Here is a 24927-nt window from a genome sequence, read left to right on the forward strand (position 1 = left end):
CATGAATTTGAAAGATGGATGTTACTCACTGTAACTTAATAGTTTAAAAGGACAAAGTTTCTTTTGTGGAGTAATAGAAATGAGACTTTAATGTTAATGAAAATTTTTTTCTGTGATCTAGGAATATTTCCTCCCAGTATTTTATTATGAAAACTTCCAAATGAACAGAAAAGTTGAAAGAATTGTACATTATATTTGGGGTTTTAAAAATGCATTTCTTTAGCAAGCTGAATATTACATGCAGTAGTATCATAATGCATTGTAAAGTTATGCTTGGAAGCAAAGTAACAACAAAAATGCCCCAGATGACATGCGTTACAAACAGAACATTTCAAAAATGAGTCCCTTTCAACCTGAACAGGGCTTATCTTGTGTTTATTGTAGACAAGCTGAGCCCAGAACCTAAAGTTGTATAGTATTGAGAAGTTTAGTGGGGAAAATGTTTTCCTTTCTCATCACATGTTTTGGGTTGAAAATATTTAATCACTTTGATGAGACTTGTCGACTGACAAGTAGTTTATAATGAGAGTAAATTGTCCTTAGTACCGTGATTTGGTTCCTGTATATGGAGTCTCTTAAAACAACTTACTCAATTTAACATCAAAATGAGCCCAAAATGTTTTCCCATAAGGCAAGCTTGTCCAACCCACCTGCCCGCAGGCCGCCTGCAGCCCAGGACGGCTTTGAATGAGGCCAACACAAATTCGTAAACTTTCTTAAAACATTATGAGATTTTTTTTTTTTGCAATTTTTTTTAAAGCTCATCAGGTATCATTAGTGTTAGCATATTTTATGTGTGGCCCAAAACAATTCTTCTTCAAGTGTGGGCCAGGGAAGCCAAAAGATTGAACAACCCTGTCATAAGGTATGTCATTATTGGGATGATTTCCAGCTGAAAAACTTCAGTGTGTTATTTCTTATTGATTTTTCACAGTGAAACTTAATAAAATTGTAATCGCTAAGAAAAAAAAGTTGTTTTCTTTTTTTCTTATATTAATACTGTTTGGCTGGACATGGTGGCTCATGCATGGAATTCCACACTTTGGGGGAGGTCAAGTTGGGAGGATCACTTGAGGCCAGGACTTAGAGACCAGCCTGGGCAACAGAGTGAGACCTCATCTCTACACATTTTTTTTAAAGTATGTATATATAAAAGCAAGAAGACCTAGCATTAATTCTGAAAATTAATGTGTACTACTTGCTAGATATTTTTTCTAGCAGTGAATAAGACACATAAAAATCCTTTTGGAACATGAATTCTATGGGAGAAGAAACACTCCCTTTTTTTTTTTTTTGGATGTTCCGTATAGCTAGTATTGGCAATTTTTTTTCTGTAAAGGGTCAGATATTAAATATTTTAGGCTCTGAGTGCCAGATAATTTCTGTTCCAGTTACCAAATTTACTACAAAAATGAATGGGCAAGGAAGGCTGTGTTTCAGTAAAGCTTTATTTATACTAATGGGTGGTAGACCATAGCTTACTAACCTCCTGTTCTAAGGCATAAAAAAACATGGACAAGCAACAGATTTAAGAAAAAAGTATTTGCAAAGCAGATGACAGACGGTTAATATTATAATATACAAACAGCCCAGTGGAACAATGGACAAAGGATATGAGTAGGTTTCAAGTCACAAAAGAATAAATCTTAATGACAAAAAAAAATATCTGAAAAGATCTGACTGGCAAAAATTATTAAGTAATATCTGTATTGGAAAGGAAAAGGAATACTCATACTTTACTAACAAAAAAATTAGACTGATCAGCCTTTTTGAAAAACAATCTGGTAGTACCTATTAAAATTTAAAATACATAAATATATGTACTCTCATTGCTCCAGTAATGCCAGTCCTGGAATTTTAATCAATGGGTACAAAACAACTGCCGTGCAATGGACAAGGAATGTCATTGCAGCGTGGTTCTGTGTGGCCTAAAATGGAGAACAGAGTGAAAGCCCGTCATTAGCGGGGTGGCTGAATAGGATGTTACCTGCGTACCGTGGAGTATTAGCCCACCTTTTAATAGAATGAAATGGACCTACACTATACCACTTGACTTGGAGAGATTTGCACAAGATAGAAAATGTGCAGGCAAGCATGGGTAGTATCAGTCTATTAGAAAAGGCCTACGCCCATACATTGATGCATGTGTCTGCATGTATGTATATATGAATATGATTACATTGAAAAAAAAAACAAAAAAAGTATACTTGTTTGTATATGAGGGGAGTTACTGAAGTAGGGAGTAAAAAAAGGAAAGAAAATTGTATACAAACAACCCCCAGAATGAATAGTATGATTGTTTTTTGAATTTATATAAAACTGTGTGTGTGTGTGTTGTGGGGGGTATCTGTATTTATTCACATCATTTTTTAAAAGGAAAAACTAAAATAGTCATTAGTCATTCAGGCTCCATCAGCTTAAAGATTTGTCAGAGGGCTTCCTAGCTCCCACTCGATGTTGTAAAATAGGCTCACCTTTATTACATTCCCAATTACTTGGCCTCTTTTTTGCCTTGTTGATTGAAAAATGGAACTCTTTCTCTGTCTGTTATGGCATAAAAACTTTATGGAAAAGACAAAGTGCCTCAGAGAAATGACTCTCTGTAGGTCTCACTAGTAACTAAGGAACTAAAATTTGAGTGGAATTCAGGTCTGTCCTTACACTTATTATGATATCCCACACTGTCTATTCCCTGTCTCTTGAAGTGAAGCTGGGACTTTTATTGATTTATTGATCTGATATCTGACTTGAAGTAATGAGAGGGAAGGTTGTATAGCATTATATAGCAAAGTGATGTAAGAAAACAAGAAAAACTTGATTTCAAGTCTCCGAACAGATTTATTAGAAACAGAAATTTGACTACCACCCTCTGATCCCTACCCCTCCACTCCTTTCTCAACATGATGATTATACAATCATTACAGACATCCCCTGTGTTTTCTGGGACTTTTTTTTAGTAACCAAATGTTCAAGAAAGTGTAGTGCCTTGTATCTGTTGATGATTATATTTCTAATTTCATGGGTATTCAGCTGACTGTCAGGTCTTATTAACACTGTTTTTGGGGGGGAGGGGCAGGGGGCAGGGGGCGGGATGGAGTCTCACTCTGTCACCCAGACTGGAGTGCAGTGGAGTGATCTCAGCTTACCACAACCCGGGTTCAAGTGATTGTCCTGCCACAGCCTCCAGAGTAGTTGGGATTACAGGTGCATGCCACCACGCCCGGCTAATTTTTATATTTTTAATAGAGATGGGGTTTCACCATGTTGGCCAGGCTGGTCTCGAACTCCTGACCTCAGGTGATCCGCCTGCCTTGGCTTCTCAAAAGTGCTGGGATTACAGGCGTGAGCCACCATGCCTGGCCTATTAACACATTAAAATGATGCGTGTTGAGGGAGCAAGTATACTGGTTGTTGTTGGGAATCTGGGATGGCCCTAGATAGATCTTTCCTGCTGCCAGATATAGGAGGAATATGATGGAACGCACAGCTGTGATACTGTACTAGGCTGATAATCTTAACACAGAGCCCTTCAATTTTATTTTAGTTTAGCAAATAATATTTGTATTGTAGTATGGTAATTTTAAATCACTCACCATGATTTGTATAGAATAGTGCGTCATTTATTCTAACGTGATGAAAGCTTTCTTTTAAAAAGTAGCCGGGGGAGATTGACTAGGGGTTAAATGCTTTCCCTGTGTCTTACTCTGTGGACCCCACCCCCCGTTACTTGAATGAATGAATGAATCCTTCTTTTTTGAGGATATTGCCAGAGGATAATAAGTTATCTAGATGTCTCAGTCCTGGATCTATGAATAGATTGTTTTTCCAGTCTTGATAGATTATTTCTGGTTTGAAGAATTTTACATGGAAACAAGATTAAGAAAGATGATAAATAATTGTTTGGCTAAAGTCCTTTATGAAACAGAATTTACAGAAATGTGATTAAGATGTATAACTCACCTTGTAAGAATTTCATGGAACATGTTGAAGTATAAAATAAAGTTCCATAGGGAGGTGATATCACACACCATACTCTGTCTTACAATTTTTGTCTCTCACAAGGAAAGGATTTGGATGTTCTGAACATATTTCTCTGCAGGAAGCGGGTGGCAGACCTGTTGACTTCATTTTCATTGACCATCTTCTACTAGAATCAAACTCTGGTCTCTTTGAAATTATACAAAGTTGGGAAGCTGTTTACATTATCAACAGCTTTACCTATTTTGAATTCAGAAGAAGATTCAAGGTGGGAAAGACAGAAAAAACCGCAAAACAAGAGCATGTCATACTAGAAGAGTTCCGTGTGAAATTCAGAATTTGGTCCCCTTAACACTATTCACTTTGGAGCTCATGGGAATCCATGGTGAGGGAAGCTTATTAAAAAATGCAGATCAGGCCAGGTGTGGTGGCTCACACCTATAATCCCAGAACTTCAGGAGGCCAAGATGGGAGAGGATAGCTTGAGGCTAGGAGTTCTGGAGCAGCCTGAGCAACATAGCGAGACCCCCATTTCTACAAATACATATATATTTTTAAATTAGTTGGGCGTAGTTGATGCACATCTTGTAGTCCTAGCTACTAGGGAGGCCGAGGCAGGAGGATCACTGGAGCCCAGGAGTTCAAGGCTTGCAGTGAGCTTTGATCACACCACAGGTTTTTTTGTTTGTTTTGTGTTTTTTGAGATGGAATCTCACTCTGTCGCCCAGGCTGGAGTGCAGTGGTGCGGTCTCAGCTCACTGCAGCCTCCACCTCCCGGATTCAAGCAGTTCTCTGCCTCAGCCTCCCGAGTAGCTGGGATTACAGGCGCCCGCCACCACCGCCTGGCTAATTTTTGTATTTTTAGTAGAGACGGGGTTTCACCATCTTGGCCAGGCTGGTCTTGAACTCCTGACCTCATGATCCACCCTCCTCGGCCTCCCAAAGTGCTGGGATTACAGGAGTGAGCCACCGCGCCTGGCCAATCACTAGATGATAGTAGTAATTCACAGGCTTCCCTAGAATCATTCACATTTTTGCTTCATGACTGAATGAGTCATAGGTGTTAATGGCATTTTGCATTTGCAGTTGTTTTATTTTTTAAACTTTATCTTGGAAGAAAACCCTTTCTTCTATTGGAATAGTGGAACCTTTTTCTATTCTTTCATCAGGCTCCATTTACTTGCTGTCCAGTCTGCCAGTGGTATGTCCTGGTGTGTTTCTTTGTACTGTTTGCTTCTGAGCGTCTCTTCCTGCCCTCTAGCTCGTTTTCTTAAAGGACAAACGAAACTTCTCAGCAGCCATTCTACAAATCCTTAAATCCATAATGCCCAGGAAAGCAAGGCAGGTAGAATGTTGGGCATCCAGTTAGAGCTGATGTGCTTTAAAGGTAAGTTTCCCGTTTTTAGTTTTAACAGTCAATAATGTTGCTCTGGGCGATTTCTCTATTAAAATTCTGTTTGGCTGTAACTTGTTGGTAATTGTAATAATATTTTACATAGTTTTATTATCTGTGGAATTAATCTTAGAATATTCAGAAAGGAAAAAAGGGCAGAATCCCTTTAAGCAGCAGGAGTCTTAGAGACTCCCTGGGAGCCAAGGGCAGATGGTGGAAAGGCACCAGCAGGGAGGAGACAAGATCATATTCAGTCCCAGGAGTTTACTCATCTCTAATTCTGACCCAGAAGAAGAGATGGAAAAAAAGTTACTGCTTAAAATTGACTCCGGCTTAGCAGCTTCAGTTGTCTGAAGTAGGCAGCGAGGACGGGCCTTTCTCTGCCGCAGCACCCCGCACCTTCACATCGCCTGTTCTGTGCACCACTGTTGTCTTTAGAGCGACTTCCGGGTGACTCCCCACTCCTCGTAATCTGCTTCCTGGTTTAGCCTACTTTATCTTTTTAGGTTACTTACCAGATTCCAGGAGGCATTGAGGGGTGTCAGCTCTTAAGATCAGCCTGACAAGCTGAGGGGAGACATAAAAGTTGATAGAGGCACGGAGATTCAGACTGGGAAAACATTTTGAAATGTAGGACGGAAGAGAACAAAAGTAATTTAGCCGTACCGTAAACAAGCAGAATGAGATGACTAAAGGCAAGGTTGTTTAGATAGTTCACCACCTTTTTTGGTCCACTAAAACATTAATTAAACTCTCTAGGCTTCACCCTTCCTCCCAGGTATTTGCATGTGCAGGCACACATACGCACTTGGCTGGTCGGACTGGCAGTGCACCCGGCCTCTGGTTAGTCGGTCTGTGGTCTCCCCTGGAGCTTAGTACAGCTCAGTCATCTTGTCACCCTCTCTTTCAGGCCCTGGTGGTTTCTTTTCACAGTATACTTCCATAGTTGATTGCAGACAGTGAAGCGTTTGCTGGCTAATACAGTTCGTGTTAATTCCTCAGCTGGCATCTGAAGCACCAGGTGACATATGAATAAGCAACTCTTTTAGGTTGTCAGGCTGGTAAGGAGTAATTAAAAATAGCCTTGGCCAGGTGCAGTGGCTCATGCCTGTAATCCCAGCACTTTGGGAGACCAAGACGGGCAGATCAGTTAAGGTCAGGAGTCCGAGACCAGCCTGGCTAACATGGCAAAACCCCATTTCTACTAAAGATACACAATATTAGGCGACGTGGTGGTGCACACCTGTAGTCCCAGCTACTCGGGAGACTGAGGCACGAGAATCGCTTGAACCCGGGAGGAGGTTGCAGTGAGATCATGCCACTGCACTCTAGCCTGGGCGACAAAGTGAGACTCCACCTAAAAAAAAAAAACTTGAACTACCACCATCAAGATTTCTCATGGGAGAAGTCATACAAAATGAGAAATTGCAATAGCGTCCTTTTCACACCAAACTGAACCCAGCCTAGAACTAATCCTGAAAGAACTAGTCAGGGCAAGCTAAGGCTTAAACAGAAGTAAATATTTTTCTTCTACTCAAAATCAAAGGGTTAGTAAAAGCTTTCAGTAGGAGCACCGTTGGGTTTACTGTGTTAATTACATCAGGATAGTAGCAGTACTTTTCCAGGAAGGTGATACAGATAATAATCTGATCGCTAAACCAAAAAGAATATTCCACAAAAAAACCAAGTATCCTTACTATGAAAAATAATGTGCTGATTTCTCTTTGAAGAACTGATTTGATCTTTGACTTCTCAAACAGCTATAATTTTATTTTTCTCTTTATTTTGCTACTTTTATATCCTTAAATGCTTTTGAATACTATAGTACATATTCACAATTTGGATTTGTTAGACTATTCATATACCTCATATTAAGTTATAAGTCTAATTGTTGTATGTAAGGGAAGCATTATACTTTATGACCTAAGATCTATAGGTTTTCATTTCCTTGAGAAGAATTTGATGCAGCCAGGTGTGGTAGCTCATTGCGTGTAACCTCAGCACTTTGGGAGGCTGAGGTCAGAGGATTGCTTGAGGCCAGGAGACCAGTCTAGGTGACAGAGCGAGACCCTGCCTCTAGAAAATAATAAATGAACTCATGAATTGGATGCCATAACAGTTTAATTGGTTCAAGAGCCTTGCTGTTCAAAGTGCAGTCATCTCTAAGTTTCCATGGGGGATTGATTTCAGGACCCCTGTGGATACCAAAATTCGTGGATGCTCAATTTCCTTATATAAAATGGTATAGTATTTACATATAACCTATGCACATTCTGCTCTATACTTTATTATTATTATTATTATTATTATTATTATTATTATTATTATTATTATTTGAGGCAGAGGCTCACCCTGTCGCCCAGGCTGGAGTGCAGTGGTGCAATCTTGGCTGACTGCAATCTTGGCTGACTGCAACCTCTGCCTCCCAGGTTCGGGCAGTTCTCCTGTCTCAGCCTCCTGAGTAGCTAGGATTACAGGCGGGCACCACCATGCCTGGCTAATTTTTGTATTTTTAGTAGAGATGGGGTTTTGCCATGTTGGCCAGGCTGGTCTCGAACTCCTGACCTCAAGTGATCCTCCTGCCTCAGCCTCCCAAAGTGCTGGGACCCTGCACCTGGCCACTGCTGTATACTTTAAACCATCTCTAGATTACACAATGTAAATGCTATAATGCTATATGCATAGCTGTTACACCATGTTGGTTTTTTATTTGTATTATTCCCGAATGTTTTCTGTTCATGGTTGGTTGAATCTGCCAGCATGGGCCCTGTGGATGTGGAGGGTGAACTGCACAGTCCTTGGATCAATGGTGCCAGCATCACCTAGGAGCTTGTTTACAGATACCTCACTCCAGACCTAGATGAATCAAAATAGCCATTAAAAAAAACTCAGGAGGTGCTTTCTGTGCACACTGAAAAACACTGTTCTGGAGCAGTAGTTGTTTTATTTTAGCTACACTTAAAAATCCCAAGTCAGGTGTTGCGGCACATGCCTATAGTCCCAGCTGTTCAGGAGGCTGGGGCAGGAGGATTGAGTGAGCCTAGGAGCTATGATTAGCTATGATTGTGCTGTGTCCAGAGTTGGTTCCTTCCGGTGGGTTCTTGGTCTCACTGACATCAAGAACGAAGCCACGGAACTTAGCGGTGAGTGTTACAGCTCTTAAAGGTGGTGTGGACCCCCAGGGCGCGGTGGCTCTTGCCTGTAATCCCAGCACTTTGGGAGGCCGAGGCGGGCGGATCACGAGGTCAGGGGATCGAGACCATCCTGGCTAACACGGTGAAACCCCGTCTCTACTAAAAATACAAAAAATTAGCCGGGTGTGGTGGCGGGCGCCTGTAGTCCCAGCTACTCAGGAGGTTAGGAAGGAGAATGATGTGAACCTGGGAGGTGGAGCTTACAGTGAGCTGAGATCCTGCCACTGCACTCCAGCCTGGGTGACAGAGCGAGACTTTGTCTCAAAAACAAAACAAAACAAAAAGGTGGTGCAGACACAAAAGAGTGAGCAGCAGCAAGATTTATTATGAAGACCGAAAGAACAAAGCTTCCACAAAGGGGATGCGAGCAGGTTGCCGCTGTGAGGTGGCCAGCTTTATTCCCTTATTTGGCCCCGCCCACATCCTGCTGATTGGTCCATTTTACAGAGCGCTGATTGGTCCATTTTACAGAACACTGGTGCATTTTTACACAGTGCTGATTGGTGTGTTTACAGTTCTTTAGCTAGACACAGTGCCGATTGGTGCATTTTTACAGAGTGCTGAGTGGTGCGTTTACAATCTTTTTTTTTTTTTTTTTTTGAGACAGAGTCTCGCTGTCTTGCCCAGGCTGGAGTGCAGTGACGGGATCTCTGCTCACTGTAAGCTCCGCCTCCCGGGTTCACGCCATTCTCCTGCCTCAGCCTCCCGAGTAGCTGGGACTACAGGTGCTGGCCACCATGCCCGGCTAATTTTTTGTGTTTTTTAGTAGACGGGACTGCAAGCTCCGCCTCCTGGGTTCTCGCCATTCTCCTGCCTCAGCCTCCCGAGTAGCTGGGACTACAGGCACCTGCCACCACGCCCAGCTAATTTTTTGTATTTTTTAGTAGACACGGGGTTTCATCGTGTTATCCAGGATGGTCTCGATATCCTGACCTCGTGATCCACCCACCTCGGCCTCCCAAAGTGCTGGGATTACAGGCGTGAGCCACCGTGCCCGGCTGTTTACAATCCTTTAGCTAGACACAGAGTGCTGATTGGTGCGTTTACAGTACCACTGCACTCCAGCCTGGGCAACAGAGCAAGAACTTGTCATTCATTCATTAGTTCATTCATAAATAGTAATTAATAAAATAAAATCACATAGGAGTAATAAATAAAATAAAATCACATATTATGCCTGAGTCCCATGCCCAGAGACTTAAAAAAAAAAAAGAAAAGCCGGGGGTCGGGGGCGGTGGGGGGCTTTAGTTTACTCATTAGGATCTAAAAAGTTCTCCGTGGCAGTTTTAGTGTGCAGCCAGGATTGAGAACAATTGTTCAGAGCCCTGTTGTCCAATGTATTAGCCACTGGCAGCTGTGTAAGTTTACCTTAAATAAAATGTAAAGATTAGTTCTCTAGCCATGGTAGCCACATTTCAAGTGTTTTTTTTTTGTTTGTTTGTTTTTGTTTTTAAGTGGCTATGTGGCTCGTGGCTGCTGTGTTGGACAGTGCAAATAGAGAACAGGTACAGGTCCATTAGAGCAATTTCCATCTTAATACTTTGAGATAATGTTGGGTAACAATTTTTTAGAGAGTTTTAAGGAATGGATTTACACTATTTTTAAATAGTTTTCCGGAGAAAATACAAATAGATATTTAGGTACTGGGAGATGAATAGACTGCCGGTAACGTCTGTATTTTAAATTCCTTTTCATGTCAGATAATAATCACTATACTTTTACCACATGTAATTAGCTCAAACGAGAAGGATGTGAGATGTGTGTACTACACATCCATGACTAAAAACTGGTTGGATATGACTACTTTCAGCAAATTAAACAGGTGGGCTAGTAGGAACAATCAGGGCAGATTAGTTGATATAAATAGTCTAGTTTCAACTTTGTTGTGTTATAATTCTTTTATCATTAAGTTTTTGTAAATATAATTAATATAATTTATCGTATATGATGCATGGAAAGAAGTAATGTAATGGAAGATAACTTTGACATCAACTAGCAGTAGTTGCCTCCATTTGTTATGTGACCTTTGGTTTTTCCTGATGAATTCCCATTTTTGCATTTATCTCATAGTATTGCTGAGGATTAATGAAATTGTTTACATAAAGCCCTAAGTCACTGCTTTCTACACGGTTGATTTTCCATAAGAGACAGCCCACATTATCAGCAGTGTATTTATACTTTGGGACCTAAATAGTGATCCTCTGGCCCCATCCGTTGCTGTTTTCCTTTGTCCAGCTTAAGTCTACGGTCTTTTGTGTTGATTCCTTATTGCCAAATCAGTCACCTTTCATCTTGAACTCTGTAGCACTTAAATGTAATAGTGGATCCTTCCCTCCATCCTGGATTCCCAGATGCCGTCCTCCTAATACTGTCAGGCCTTCTGTTCTTCTTTCTCCTTTTCAGATTCCTCTTTTTTATTTATTTATTATTTATTTATTTTTTTTGGAGATGGAGTCTCGCTCTGTCGCCCAGGCTGAGGTACCGTGGCACGGTCTGGCTCACTGCAGCCTCTGCCTCCTGGATTCAAGTGATTCTTTTGCCTCAGCCTCCCGAGTAGCTGGGACCACAGGCGGCAACTACCATGCCCGGCTAATTTTTGTATTTTTAGTAGAGATGGGGTTTCACCATGTTGGCCAAGCTGATCCTGAACTACTGACCTCAAGGGATCTGCCTGCCTCTGCCTCCCAAAGTGCTGGAATTACAGGTGTGAACCACCACGTCCCACCTCTTTTATCCCCCATTTAAATGATAATGTTCTTTTTTCGGCCCAGAGTGGTAAAACCTCTGAAACTGTAGCAGAGGACCGTGGCTTGAATACAAACTCTGCCTCCCGTGCTTTATACTTCTTACTGGATGCTGTCACCTGTTTGTCTGTTTCTCGGACACTTAGGGAAAACCCAGACTCACACACCAGCTGTTCCACCTGTCTGTACTGTCTTGGTAATTGGCACCACTATTCACCTAACTAAGACAGGGTCTCAGGAGTTCTCCCATTTTTTTCAGCTCCGCACATCTAATTGGTAACCAGTTCTTTTTTTTTTTTTTTTTTTTTTTTGAGACAGAGTCTTGCTCTGTCGCCCAGGCTGGAGTGCAGTGGCATGATGTTGGCTCACTGCAAGCTCTGCCTCCCAGGTTCACGCCATTCTCCTGCCTCAGCTTCCCGAGTAGCTGGGACTACAGGCGCCCGCCACCACGCCCGGCTAATTTTTTGTATTTTTAGTGGCGACGGGGTTTCACTGTGTTAGTCAGGATGGTCTCGATCTCCTGACCTCGTGATCTGCCCGCCTCGGCCTCCCAAAGTGCTGGGATTACAGGCGTGAGCCACCACGCCCAGCCCAACCAATTCTTATTTCTTAACATTTTTGACCTGTTCTGTACTTCAGTGTCTGGACACTTGCAATGGTCTGATAAGTTTTTCCCCCGGAAATGTCAGTCACTCCAGTCTAGGCCCACAGGGCACTGAGTGATGCTTCCTTTCACACATGTAGCCACAATCCTATCAGGTGTGGTTCCTTGAGGACAAGGATCTTGTCCAGGCTGCAGCATGCCAGCTAAATGAATGAGTAAACTGATGGTATCCCCAAACGCAGCAGTTTGGTAATAAACAGATTATTCTGGGTTTAAGGAATGAGAACAGTAAATAGCAAGTGGGAGTAGTTGAACTTGCCCTTTTAGCCTTCTGAATGTCCTCTCCTTTTCTAACAGGGAATCTGAACAGTCTTAAGTTTTGAATATATATGGAAATAGTTTAGATTCATTTGAGGAAAAGTAATTTGTTGTCATTTAAAATTAGGTTTTAATGGGAAAAAGTAATATATTAACTTTTTGTTGTTGTTTTAGATGGAGTCTCACTCTGTCGCCAGGCTGGAGTGCAGTGGCGCAACATCGGCTCACTGCAACCTCTGCCTCCCGTGTTCAAGCGATTCTCCTGCCTCAGCCTCCTGAGTAGCTGGGGCTATAGGTGCATGCCACCATGCCCGGCTAATTTTTGTATTTTTAGTAGAAACAGGTTTTTGCTATATTGGCCAGGCTGGTTTCAAATTCCTGACCTCGTGATTCTCCTGCCTCGGCCTCCCAAAGTGCTGGGATTACAGGCGTGAGCCCACCTCACTTAAAACATTGAAACAGTATAAAACCTATGCAGTGAAAAGATCTCCTGGTTAACCTATCTTTCCACAAATAATGTGTGCGTATACAACCATTATCTGTGTGGATGTACTTCCTTCTATTTAATAATAGTACATTACTCCATCAGTCTGGTTTCCCCAACCTCTAATCCAGTTTTATCCATTATCATAAATGGCATCTTTCAACTGAAATTTTGCCCACACAAAAACCTTAGTCTTCCTAGCTTTCTGCTTTTCTTTCACCTTGCTCCTTACCACTTACTGTTGATTTTGCTGTCAGCACAGATCTTGTATCTCATCCCTGCTGCTACTCTAGTCCAGACCATCCTCATCTCATACCTGGATTATTACAGTTCTCTACTCACTGGTCCCTCTGCTTTTCGTTGCACCTTCTATTCCATGCACTAGCAGCAGCTAGAGTAATGAACGTGTCAGAGCCTGACCTGCTTATAAGCGTTCCCACTCCGTGTCAAAGAGGACAGACTTGGTGCCATGGTTTACACATCCACCTCTGTGATTTGCCCCCTGCCAGCTTCATCTACCTGAAAGAAAGAAGCTGAGACAAAATTGATTTAAGTAGAGAGTTCAGGTGGGCCAGGCTTGAGGCTGGCAGCCTAGGGGCATAGACTCAAGTTGCCTTGAATCTTCACTTCAATTGGCAGCCATTACAGGTAGATTTTTAAAGGTGAAAAGGGAGACAGGGAGTGGGACTGATACAAAGTGGTTTGTCAGGAATTCTTTTTGGCTTACAAAAATAACTGATTAGGGATTGGTTGTACATTGTGTGGTGAAGGTAGCATTACTAGGTTAATTTATATGAATACCTACTTGTGGCTATGGCAAGCAGTTTCGAGATGAATGCATAGCTCAAGGGGAAGCTAGGACGAGATTGCAATCTCATTTTAGTGCCTCTCTGGGCCTGAAAATTTAGAAGGACTCACATTCCTCAGATAAGAGTTCTTTTCTTTTCTCAGTTCCATGGGGCTTGCTCCATTCCAACCTCACAGGATTCTTCCGTTCCTCCGAGCACCAGAGCCCAGGGCTTTTCAACGGTGGTTTCCTTTGCCTGGAAAGTTCTTTCCAGTGTATGGCTGGCTGCTTCACATCCTGAAGGTCTCAAATTAAATATCATTGCAGCAAAGCATCCTTCACCAGTTACAACTCAAATTACCCAAATTATTTGCATTAAAATCCATTAGGGATATAGCAGTGAGCCAGAGTTCCTACCTTTGGTGTATATGAACTCCATGGCATTCCATAGCTATTTTTTACTTCAAAGAAAAAGAGTAAGATAAATCATACAACTGTCTCAAAATAATGGGAGTTTTAGCTTGACAAAACAAACGTGAAGGACTTGAGGCCTGTTAGTGGACTGACAGGAAGTTCAGTGGGCCTGATGTAAGTCAAGGGAAATAGTAGGAATTAGTACCCTAAGTTGTGGGACGTCAGATCGCTTAGGACCTTCCAAGCTATGATAGAAGTTTGAATGTTATTTTTATTTATTTATTTTTGAGACAGGGTCTGGCTCTTTCGCCCAGCCTGGAGTGCAGTGGCACAATCTCTGCTCACTGCAACCTCCACCTCCTGGGTTCAAGTGATTCTCCTGTCTCAGCCTCTGGAATAGCTGGGATTACACGTGTGAGCCACCACGCCAGACTAATTTTTGTATTTTTCGTAGAGACAGGGTTTCACCATGTTCTTCAGGGCTGGTCTCGAGCTCCTGGCCTCAAGTGATCCACCCGCCTTGGCCTCCCAAAGTGCTGGGATTACAGGCGTGAGCTGCCACTCCAGGCTGAATTTTATTCTGAGTAGTGGCAGTCTTTTTTAAAAGGATCCCTCTGGTATGTGTGGAGAGAATAGACCATCAAGTATAAGAGGGAGAATAGGGGAAAAAATGTGGTAGTGGAGGTAGAGGTAGTGAAAATCAGTCTCTTGAAGGTGGATTTGCTGGACTGGGATATGGCGTGAGAGAGAAGAGTTAAGGTGATACCAAAGCTTTTGAGCTGAGTAGCTGAAAGAATGGAGGTGCAGGTACCATTGACCGAGATGGGGAAGACTAAGGGAGGAATACTTGTGGAGTGAGTGATATCTGTATTCGGGTTTTGGAAATAGTAAATTTTATATTTTTATTAGGCATTGGTCATTGAGTAGGAAGCTGGGTATATACAGTCTAGAGTTCTAAGCAGGGAAGGTAATTTTTGGAGCCTTCAGAGTATAGCTGGTTCTTCAAGCGCTGAAGAAGGGTGAGATCACTAGGGAGGGAGGAAGGAGCTATAAAAGAAAGAGGTCACTCATCACATCTTACACACTTTTTAAAACCTTGGTTTTTTAATGTCCGTGTTCCTCATTAGCAGTAAGCCCTGTGGAAGCAGGAGTCTTTCTCATTGACCACCATGACAAGACCCTATTTATGAAACATAATAGACACACAAATGTTTATCGGATATTTATTGAAATATAGGAATTTTTCCCCTCACACCTCATGACCACATTCTGGTACATTGTATGAATGAATATACCATAATTTTACCTATGGCTGTATATTTAGGTCTTTTCGTGCAGGCTATAAAAATATGTATGGGCCGGTCACAGTGACTTACGCCCGTAGTCCCAGAACTTTGGGAGGCCGAGGCGGGTGGATCACCTGAGGTCGGGAGTTCAAAACCAGCCTGACCAACATGGAGAAACCCCGTCTCTGCTAAAAATACAAAAATTAACTGGACACGGTGGCGTATGCCTGTAATCCCAGCTACTCGGGAAGCTGAGGCAGGAGAACTGCTTGAACCCAGGAGGCGGAGGTTGTGGTGAGTCGAGATTGCGCCATTGCACTCCAGCCTGGGCAACAAGAGCGAAATTCCATCTCAAAAAAAAGAAAAAAGTATGACTGTATTTAGAGTAGTATGTGGATTTGAAAAATTAATAAGTGTTGCCAACTTACCTTAGGGTTTATACCATTTATGAGGGTGTCGGTTTCCTTAAAATTTGGCCAGTACATGATGATCTAATTTACATCTAGAATAGTTTATTACTGTATATAAAAAGGATACATCAACCCTAAATTCTCCTTCCCATTAATGATACCAACATGACTGGCACAAGAATTATATTTTGGTTTTAGAAACTTTTCCTTGATAGGAATTTTATACTTTGATAAGTTTTGTCTGAAATTTCACATTCCTGAAAACTTTAAATGAGTGAAGGTCATGTAAGAGTTGTGTCTGGGCTTCATGGCAGAACTGCTGACGAGCGTACCCTTTCTGCAGAAAGTATAAAAATGGCCTTGCTGAGGAAATTAAATTTATGTTCAAGTGCTATTTCTTTATGGCACCGGGAAACAAGCATTTCAAACAGCTGGAAATGGTCAGAGTGGTCATAAAGAGTTTGTGTTAAGAATGGTTACTTAGGTGCCAGGTGTCAGCCTGTCCAAGTGCTGGCTTTGCCACTTACCAGCACTGTACACTCAGAAGTGCACCTCTGTCTTTTTTTACCTTATTTGTAAAATGGACCAGTGCATGTAAAGAGTTTAGCACAGTGTGTAGCACATAAGAGCTCAATACAAATTAGTTAGTATTAGCCAGGTGTGGTGGCCCATGACTGCAGTCCCAGCTACTCAGGAGGCTGAAGTGGGAGGATTTCTTGAGTCCAGGATTTTGAGGCTGCAATGAGCCATGATCGCACCACTGCACCCCAGCCTGGATGACAGAGTGAGACCCTGTCACAAAAACCTGCAGCTGGCCAGGCGTGGTGGCTCATACCTGTAATCTCAGCAGGTATGAGGGATTTGGGAGGCTGAGGCGGGTGGATCCACGAGGTCAGGAGATCAAGACCATCCTGGCTAACACAGTGAAACCCCATCTCTACCAAAAATACAAAAAATTAGCCAGGTGTGGTGGCGGGCACCTGTAGTCCCAGCTACTCGGAAAGCTGAGGCAGGAGAATGGCATGAACCTGGGAGGCGGAGCTTGCAGTGAGCTGAGATCGCACCACTGCACTCCAGCCTGGGCGACACAGCGAGACTCCGTCTCAAAAAAAAAAAAAAAACCCTGCAGCTGGGCAGGTCTGAGTCAGCAGGGAGAAAACAGGTCTGTTGCCCTTGATGAGCCTGTACAAATACATATTAGTATCTTATGAATGTGACACAAAGAGAAAAAGCCTAGGCCTTGTTATTTACAAACTGCAGATTCCACAAAGTTTTAATTTTAAGCATACCAATCTGACCATTTCCAGCTGTTTGAAATGCTTGTTTCCTGGTGCCATAAAGAAATAGCACTTGAACATAAATTTAATTTCCTCAGCAAGGCCATTTTTATACTTTCTGCAGAAAGGGTACACTCACCAGCAGTTGTGCCATGAGAGTACACCGAACAAAGGAGACAGGGTCATTTATAACCTGACACGTCCACCCTACTGCTGTGTCCGGTTTCCATTGGCTGGAACAGGACCTCACATTCTGTATTTGTCCCGATTGGCTAGCAACTTAGAACTTTTAAAAAGAGGCAAAGGCAGAGGAGAACAAAGGAAGGAGGAAGTAACTTGTGGAATGCTGAGAAAGGTAAAAACACCTTCAAATAAGGAAGAGGAACAGGCTATGACCTAATGCTTGCTTGGACCAGTATAAGCATGCCAGGGCAAATAATTAGGCTAAGTTGTGGGAGCTAAGAACATAAAGTACATTGATTTCTTTATTACGGCTAGCAGATATTTAAGAATGTTAGCACAAGTGTTTGAATAAATTTTGCTTCTAAGAGAAGTTACTATTTATTCCTCCTAATTAGATGGGGAGGAAAGTCTTTGAAGAGGAACCTCTACTTTACTTTTTAAACACAGCTCATCCTAGAACCTTGTCTCTGGCAATCTTCATCTTCCCAGGATTTACACATATTGATCGTTCATCTTTTCTCCTCCCTACTCTCCTGACCCACTTTATAGTTCATGGTCTATCATTATAATGTCTTTCTTGCATATGGCTTGTATTAGGTATCCATTGATGTGTATGGTGTACGCAACTTGGCAGCTTAAAACAGCACACTGTTTTTTGTTTTGTTTTGTTTGTAAGACAGAGTCCCCTCTGTTGCCCATGCAGGAGTGCAGTGGCGCAATCTCGGCTCACTGCAACCTCCATCTCCTGGGTTCAAGCAATTCTCCTGCCTCGCTTTCCCCTCGGGAAACTACAGGCGCACACCAGCACGCCCGGCTAATTTTTGTATTTTTAGTAGAGACGGGGTTTCACCATGTTAGTCAGGCTGGTCTCGAACTTCTGACCTCAGGTGATCCGCCTGGGATTATAGGTGTGAGCCACGGTGCCCAGCCCCAAACAGCACACATTTATGACCTCACACTTTCTGTGGCTCAGCTGCAGTGAAGGTATTAGCTGAGGCTGTGGTCTCATATCAGGGCTCAACTGAGGAGGGATCAGCAGATCCAAAATCATGTGGGTTGTGATACCCACATTTTCTTCTAGTTTTCACCATTGTATTTTAAATATTTAACTATTTAATCCCTGTGATGCATGGTAGAATCAAAACCTCACCCCTACATGTTTAGTCAATTATTATTATTATTATTATTGCAACACACTGAATAGTCTACTGTTGTACCATTGATAAAAATACTATATTCTAAAATGTTATGTATAGTTGAGTTTGCTTTTGGATTTTCCATTCTCTTCCATTTTATTTAATCCCAACATCATAGTTTTAAATCACACTTTTATTATATTTTATAATATGCCGTATTTTCTGGCCATCTTGGTTCCTCTTAGTTTGCAAATTCCTCACAGCCATTCTTCTAAGAGGTGAAAAGGCAATATAGAACATTAAATTTGTTGGAATCAATTTTGTTTTTCTCAAAGTGATCTACTTTTCAGTGCCCTAATAATTTTGTCATTTGTAATTTGAAACAATTTACATTTTTATCTGCAAAAAGCCCTTCAAGTTGGTCACAGTAGTAACTGTTTATTCCACAATTAAAACTGTAATTTTTTTATGGTTTCAGAAAATATGGTAGATATTGTACATCACAAAGTATAATTGAGAAATTCCTGTTTTCCTCAGAAAATTTTCAGAAACATCCCTTTTTTAAAAAAAGAGTAACAACCTTCCTCAAGCACTGGTTTTATATAAGGACAACCAGCTTGTTCTGTCTTGGCCTTGGGGTAAAAGTGCCTTCATTTATTACAGCATCACGATATGGAGATGGACTAAAATAAATTCAGATCTTAGAATAAACAGGTAACAAAAATGTCATTGTGTTGTAGATATATTGTTACTCTTCTACATCTGGGGCCTCATGTGCACTCTTCCATATTAAAAAGAAAGATGAGCAAAAATGTTTTCACACATTTAGAATAAGGGTAGAGTTTCATGTAGTACATGTTTATGTCTCTAATCCTTGTTAATCTCATTTGCTCCCTATCTGGTCAGGTTATTTAATTGGAATTTATATTTACTAGTTTGTTTGTTTGAGACAGAATTTCTCGCTCTTGTTGCCCAGGCTGGAGTGCAGTGGCACTATCTCTGTTCATCACAACCTCCGCCCCCGCGGGTTCAAGCGATTCTCCTGTCTCAACCTCCTGAGTAGCTGGAATTACAGACATACGCCACCACGCCTGGCTAATTTTGTATTTTTACTAGAGACGGGGTTTCTCCACGTTGGTCAGGCTGGTCTGGAACTGCTGACCTCAGGTGATCCACCCGCCTCGGCCTCCCAAAGTACTGGGATTACAGGCGTGAGCCACTGCGCCTGGCCTATATTTACTAGTTTTGTCTTGCTCTCTGTCTAGGCCTTTCTGAACTAATAGGGTCTTGGAATCTAGCTCAATTCTATTTTCTTGTGTGTGATATTTTTGCAATTCATTCATAATACCTTTCGTTAATAAAATTCTATCATTTTGTAAAATTTTTTGAGCTATAGCCTATTTCTTGTCAGGAACTCTTCACTGAGGCATAAGCTCCCCAAGGGCAGGGAGCTTTCTCCATTTTGTCCACTGTATCCCCAACAGCTAGACGGTTGCCTTGCACATGAGTGCTCAGTAAACATTTGTTAAGTATAAACATCCATTTACCATATGACCCAGCGGTTACACTTTTGGGGCATTTATGCCAAAGGAAAAACCTGTAGATGAATACACATAGCGATTTTATTTGCTGTACCTCTCAAGTTGCAAAAACCCAGATGTCCTTCAGTTGGTGAATGCTTAACAAAAGCATGGTACAGCCATTCCATAGACTACTCCTCAGCAATAAAAAGAGATGAAGTATTGATTCATGCAAAAACTGGGAGACATTTCAAGGAAATTGTGCTGAGTGAAAGAAAGCTAATCTTAAAAGCTTATATATGATATTATTTCATTTACATATAACATCATTGAAATAATAACATTATAGAGACAGAGAACAGATTAGTGGTTGCCAAGGATTAGAGATAAGGTGAGAGGAGAGTGGACATAGCTATAAAGAAGTAACACAAGGGAGCCCTGTGGTGATAGCACTGTTCTTCATCTTAATTGTGGGGGTGGCTGCATGACTCAATACATATGATAAAACTGCGTAGAACTGGCCGGGTGCAGTGGCTTACACCTGTAATCCCAGCACTTGGGGAGGCTGAGGCGGGTGGATCACGAGATCAGGAGTTCCAGACCAGCCTGGCCAAGATGGTGAAACCCCATCTCTACTAAAAATACAAAAATTAGCCAGGTGTGGTGGCGGGCGCCTGTAATCCCACCTGCTTGAGAGGCTAAGGCAGAGAATTGCTTGAACCCAAGAGTTGGAGGTTGCAGTGAGCTGAGATTGCACCAATGCACTACAACCTGGGCGACAGAGCAAGTCTCTGTCTCCAAAAAAAAAAAAAAAGCATAGAACCACATAACACACACATGACTGCATGTAAAACTGGTGCAGTTTTAATACGGTGGGTAAAATGGTGCCATTGTGAGTTTTTTTTTTCTTTTTAATATTATAGTTATGTAAGATGTTACCATTGGGGAAATTCTGATGAAGATCACATGGGATTTCCGTATACAGTGTTTATATAACCTATAATTATTTCCAAGTAAAAAGTGTTATTTTTTAAAACAGAATGAATAGTAAAATCTAACAGAAAACACTTAGGTACATATGGATCATGCAAGGAAGAATTAAAGCTACAGGGTTATTATTACCAAATATTCTTGGAAAGCACTGATTTAAAAACAGAGAGTACTTTGCTGACTTTTTTTGTTATGAAGGAGCAGGTTTCTTGAGTTTACTGTTTGTATTACTCTGTGTGTCTAACCTAAGTCTAGGTACTTAGTTTTAAAATACCTTTAAAAGGAGCAAAAAAATCTCACTTCAGGAGCTTTAAAAATTGTGAAGTTAGCACATTTAAATAATAGTGACCTATAGCTTTGTGAAAATGAGTCATTATGAATTACTGTCTACATCAGTTTGAGAAGAAAGCAACTTATACTTGGAAAAAGTAAAAGCGAATCATCCCTTCTTACCCTAAGCACTTCTCTCCCTTCTGATTATTGAGTTACACAAAAGTATTTCAAGGACAGACCAAGGAAGCCTAGATTCCAAAGGATTGATTTTAGTTGTCCGTTGCATATTCCAGTTACAGTAAGAACCTGCAGGGTGATATACTCAGGGCCTAAGGACCCCCAGGGTCATTCTAGGGCTTATATTTTAGAAAAAAGATCCAGAGCAAAGATGCAGTTTCTTTCTTTCTTCCTCTTTTCCTTTGCCCTGCCCGGCCCTGCATCCCAGCCCTGTGTCCCAGCCTAGAGCATAGTGGCATGACCACAGCTCACTGCCTCTGCAACTTCCCGGGTTCAAGCTATCCTCCCATCTCAGCCACCCGAGTAGCTGGGACTACGGTTGAGCGCCACAACGCCCAGCCAATTTTTTGTGTGTGTTTTTTTTTGTTTTTGGTTTTTGTAAAGACAGAGTTTCACCACATTGCCCAGGCTGGTCTTGAACTCCTGAGTTCAAGGGACTCCCCCGGCGTCGGCCTCACAAAGTGTTGGGATTACAGGTGTGAGCCACAGCACCTGCCCAAAGATGCAATTTCATACTACCAAAAATACAGAGAAATAGAAAAAGAGAACAATGAAAGCCACATGCCAAAATTATTATAGTTGCTTCTTTGTAGCCACTTTGCAAACTCCTGAACTTCTTTGTGATGGAAGTCTGTTGTGCATCCTTCACTCTTTGAAAATCTTCAACACAGGAAACCTGGCTTTTCACATGGGTTTTCCAAATATGCAACCTAAAGCAACTGTCTTGAAACAAATTCTTCAGAAGCCTCTTATCCTTTTAACTCCTTAAGCTGAGCATGTAACTTTGTAAGCTGGGTTTATGAAGGGCCACATGTATTTATACCAGTAGCAGCTTAGTATGTGCTGTGCGGGTGTTTCTCAGGGTATTTATTCTACTCCATTGATCTATTTCTTCTCTTCCTCTTCCTTTCTCCAGCTTTCTGAGTAGTTGGGACTACATATTCGTGTAACCATGCCTGGACTTCTTTATTTTTATAACTTCCTCTTCCAGCCCAGAAGGCAGTTTGGTGTCTTTGATAGCCCCTCACCTATGACACCTCTCTGTATACACTTGCAACTTTGAAGTCTTCTCTGAGGTTTCTTCTTTGGAAAAAATTTAGATTTAATTTTCTGAGACAGAGTTTTGCTCTGTCACCCAGAATGGAGGACAATGGCATGATCTTGGTTCACTACAACCTCTGTCTCCTGGGTTCAAGCAATTCTCCCGCCTCAGCCTCCCGACTAGCTGGGATTACAGGTGCGTGCCACCATGCCCGGCTAAGTTTTCTATTTTCAGTAGAGACAGGATTTCGCCATGTTGGCCAGGCTGGTCACTAACTCCTGACCTCAGGTGATCCGCCCGTCTCGGCCTCCCAAAGTGCAGGGATTGCAGGCGTGAGCCACCGCGCCCAGCCTCGATTTGGATTCTTTAGAGGGATTGAAGGTTATTCACATGTGATTCCTGTACTCCCCAGTGACCCAGGTGTCTTGATTCTGGGGCTTCAGTTTCTTGCCCCATCAGTTTTCTCTTCCCCTCTCATTTTAGTTCAGACCTTCAGGTTGACAAGTCTTAGATTGTATGGAGAGTCTCTGCCTCTAGCCAGTGCCTGTCATCCCCGGTATCCTTATGTCCCAGTCGTTGAATCACATTAATAAACACTATCTACACAGCTGCAGCCTATCTTTTCACATCACAGCTTTCTCTCCCACAAAGTGAAACTTCATTTTTGGGGTGTAGGGGAAGGAAATCTCTTATGTTTATATCAAATCTTTATTTTCTTGCCTAGGACTTCATCCTTTCTAGGTCTCTTCTGGGGTTAGCAGCAGTGTTTCATCCCCACAAAAACTAACCAAGTTTGGCTTAGTCTTAGCTGGCCTTTAGTTCCATCCTGGAGACCTGTTTGGGGGTGCTGTGTGTCTCTTTGTAGACCTGTCAATCCTGTGGTTGCTTCCCTAATTCGCAGCATCAGGGAATCACCCATTACCGCGATGGGTTTCCCCGGTCGTGCTGCTCTGCCAGCAGCTGTAGCAGCTCTTATTTGTAGAAATGGGACGTTCTGTTTATTGTAGGTCCTAGTCAATCTGATATGAGGAAAGCTTCTCTTCTCTTTCTCTGTTGGTTCAGAGTTTATTCTTTTTTATCCAAAGCAACTGCTGATACACAACTTACTGATATTAAGTTTGATTCCCACCAGTCTCCTAAAACAATGGTGATTTTTTTTAAGAAAGTTATTTCCTTTATCCTCTTTTAAATATTCTGTTTGTGAGACAGTATTTTTCAAGTCCCATTCTCTTTCAAGTATTCAAAGATGGTGGATGCCTCAGGCAGAAAAATAGATACAACAAACTCCCTATATTTCCCACCCCATCTGTACTTCCTGTTGGGGTTAGGACTCATTTAGAATTTACCATCATTTGCTAGGCACTTTCTCCTGAAACTCCTGGCGAGGAGTTTGATGGCTTTCGTTATCAGTAGACCAATTTATCCAGGTAAAAGCAATTAGCATTCTCCAGTGAGCCCAAGTGTGTGAGCCCTTCTCATGGGCAAGCCTTTGTGCACCAGAATACACAGAAGTCAGTCTTCGTTCCAGATGTTTCCCATGTTTTTCCTCTGCGATGGGATTGGGTGGGAGTGAAGAAACCATGCCTATGACAACAGAAGAAACAACATGAGTCAAGACTGGGAAGTACCCGTTACTTTTTTTTTTTTTTTTTTGAAATGGAGTCTCGCTCTGTCGCCCAGGCTGGAGTGCAATGGCACAACCTTGGCTCACTGCAACCTCCGTCTCCAGGGTTCAAGTGATTCTCCTCCCTCAGACTCCTCAGCAGCTGGGACTACAGGTGCGCACCACCAAACCCGGCTAATTTTTTTATTTTTAGTAGAGACAGGGTTTCACCATGTTGGTCAGGCTGATCTCGAACTCCTGACCTCGTGGTCCACCCGCCTTGGCCTCCCAAAGTGCTGGGACTACAGGCATGAGCCACCATGCTCGGCAGTACCTGTTACTTTTTTAAAGATAAAGATCTTGACCGGGCGCGGTGGCTCACACCTGTAATCCCAGCATTTTGGGAGGCCGAGGCAGGCGGATCACGAGGTCAGGAGATCGAGACCATCCTGGCTAATACGGTGAAACCCTGTCTCTACTAAAAATACAGAAAATTAGCTGGGCATGGTGGCGGGCGCCTGTAGTCCCAGGCAGAGCTTGCAGTGAGCAAAGATCGTGCCACTGCACTCCAGGCTGGGCAACTGAGCGAGACTCCATCTGAAATAATAATAAAAAAAAAAGATAAAGATCTTAAGATAATACTGAGAAGGTGTAGGTTGAGGTCATTTGGGGAGGCTTTGAATGTTAAGTTCAGGATACAGACTTAATCTGATGAATTGCGAGGAGTCTTTGGAGGCTTCTACACGAAAGCAATATTGTCAGAATTGAATTTAAGCAAATTTAATTGGGCAGAGGTTTAGTCTGTATTGGATATGGGGAACCAGTTTGGAAGTCCCGGTGAGAAGTTTAGGTCATCAAAACCTGCCTGTCCTAGGCCAGCTGCAGTGGCTCACGCCTGTAATCCCAGCACTTTGGGAGGCCGAGGCGGGTGGATCACGAGGTCAGGAGTTCAAGACCAGCCTGGCCAAGATGGTGAAACCCCATCTCTACTAAAAATCAAAAATCAGCTGGGTGTGGTGGCGAGCACCTGTAATCCCATCTACTCAGAAGGCCG

General features: G+C 42.2%; 1 protein-coding gene across 10 annotated transcripts in view, besides 1 other annotated feature; it reads left to right on the plus strand.

The window, feature by feature from the left end:
- CECR2 (CECR2 histone acetyl-lysine reader) overlaps window positions 1-24927 on the plus strand; it is a 198203-nt gene that overhangs the window by 77939 nt on the left and 95337 nt on the right. The window lies entirely within an intron of this gene.
- Window positions 22101-22301: a silencer, noted in NCBI's record as "peak4449 fragment used in MPRA reporter construct". NCBI's record gives its function as "represses an SCP1 promoter by STARR-seq MPRAs in K562 erythroleukemia cells {active_cell/tissue: K562}" and the evidence as "EXISTENCE:reporter gene assay evidence [ECO:0000049][PMID:32103011]".

The sequence above is a fragment of the Homo sapiens genome, chromosome 22 (assembly GCF_000001405.40).
Source record: "Homo sapiens chromosome 22, GRCh38.p14 Primary Assembly".
In the NCBI taxonomy this organism is placed as follows: domain Eukaryota; kingdom Metazoa; phylum Chordata; class Mammalia; order Primates; family Hominidae; genus Homo; species Homo sapiens.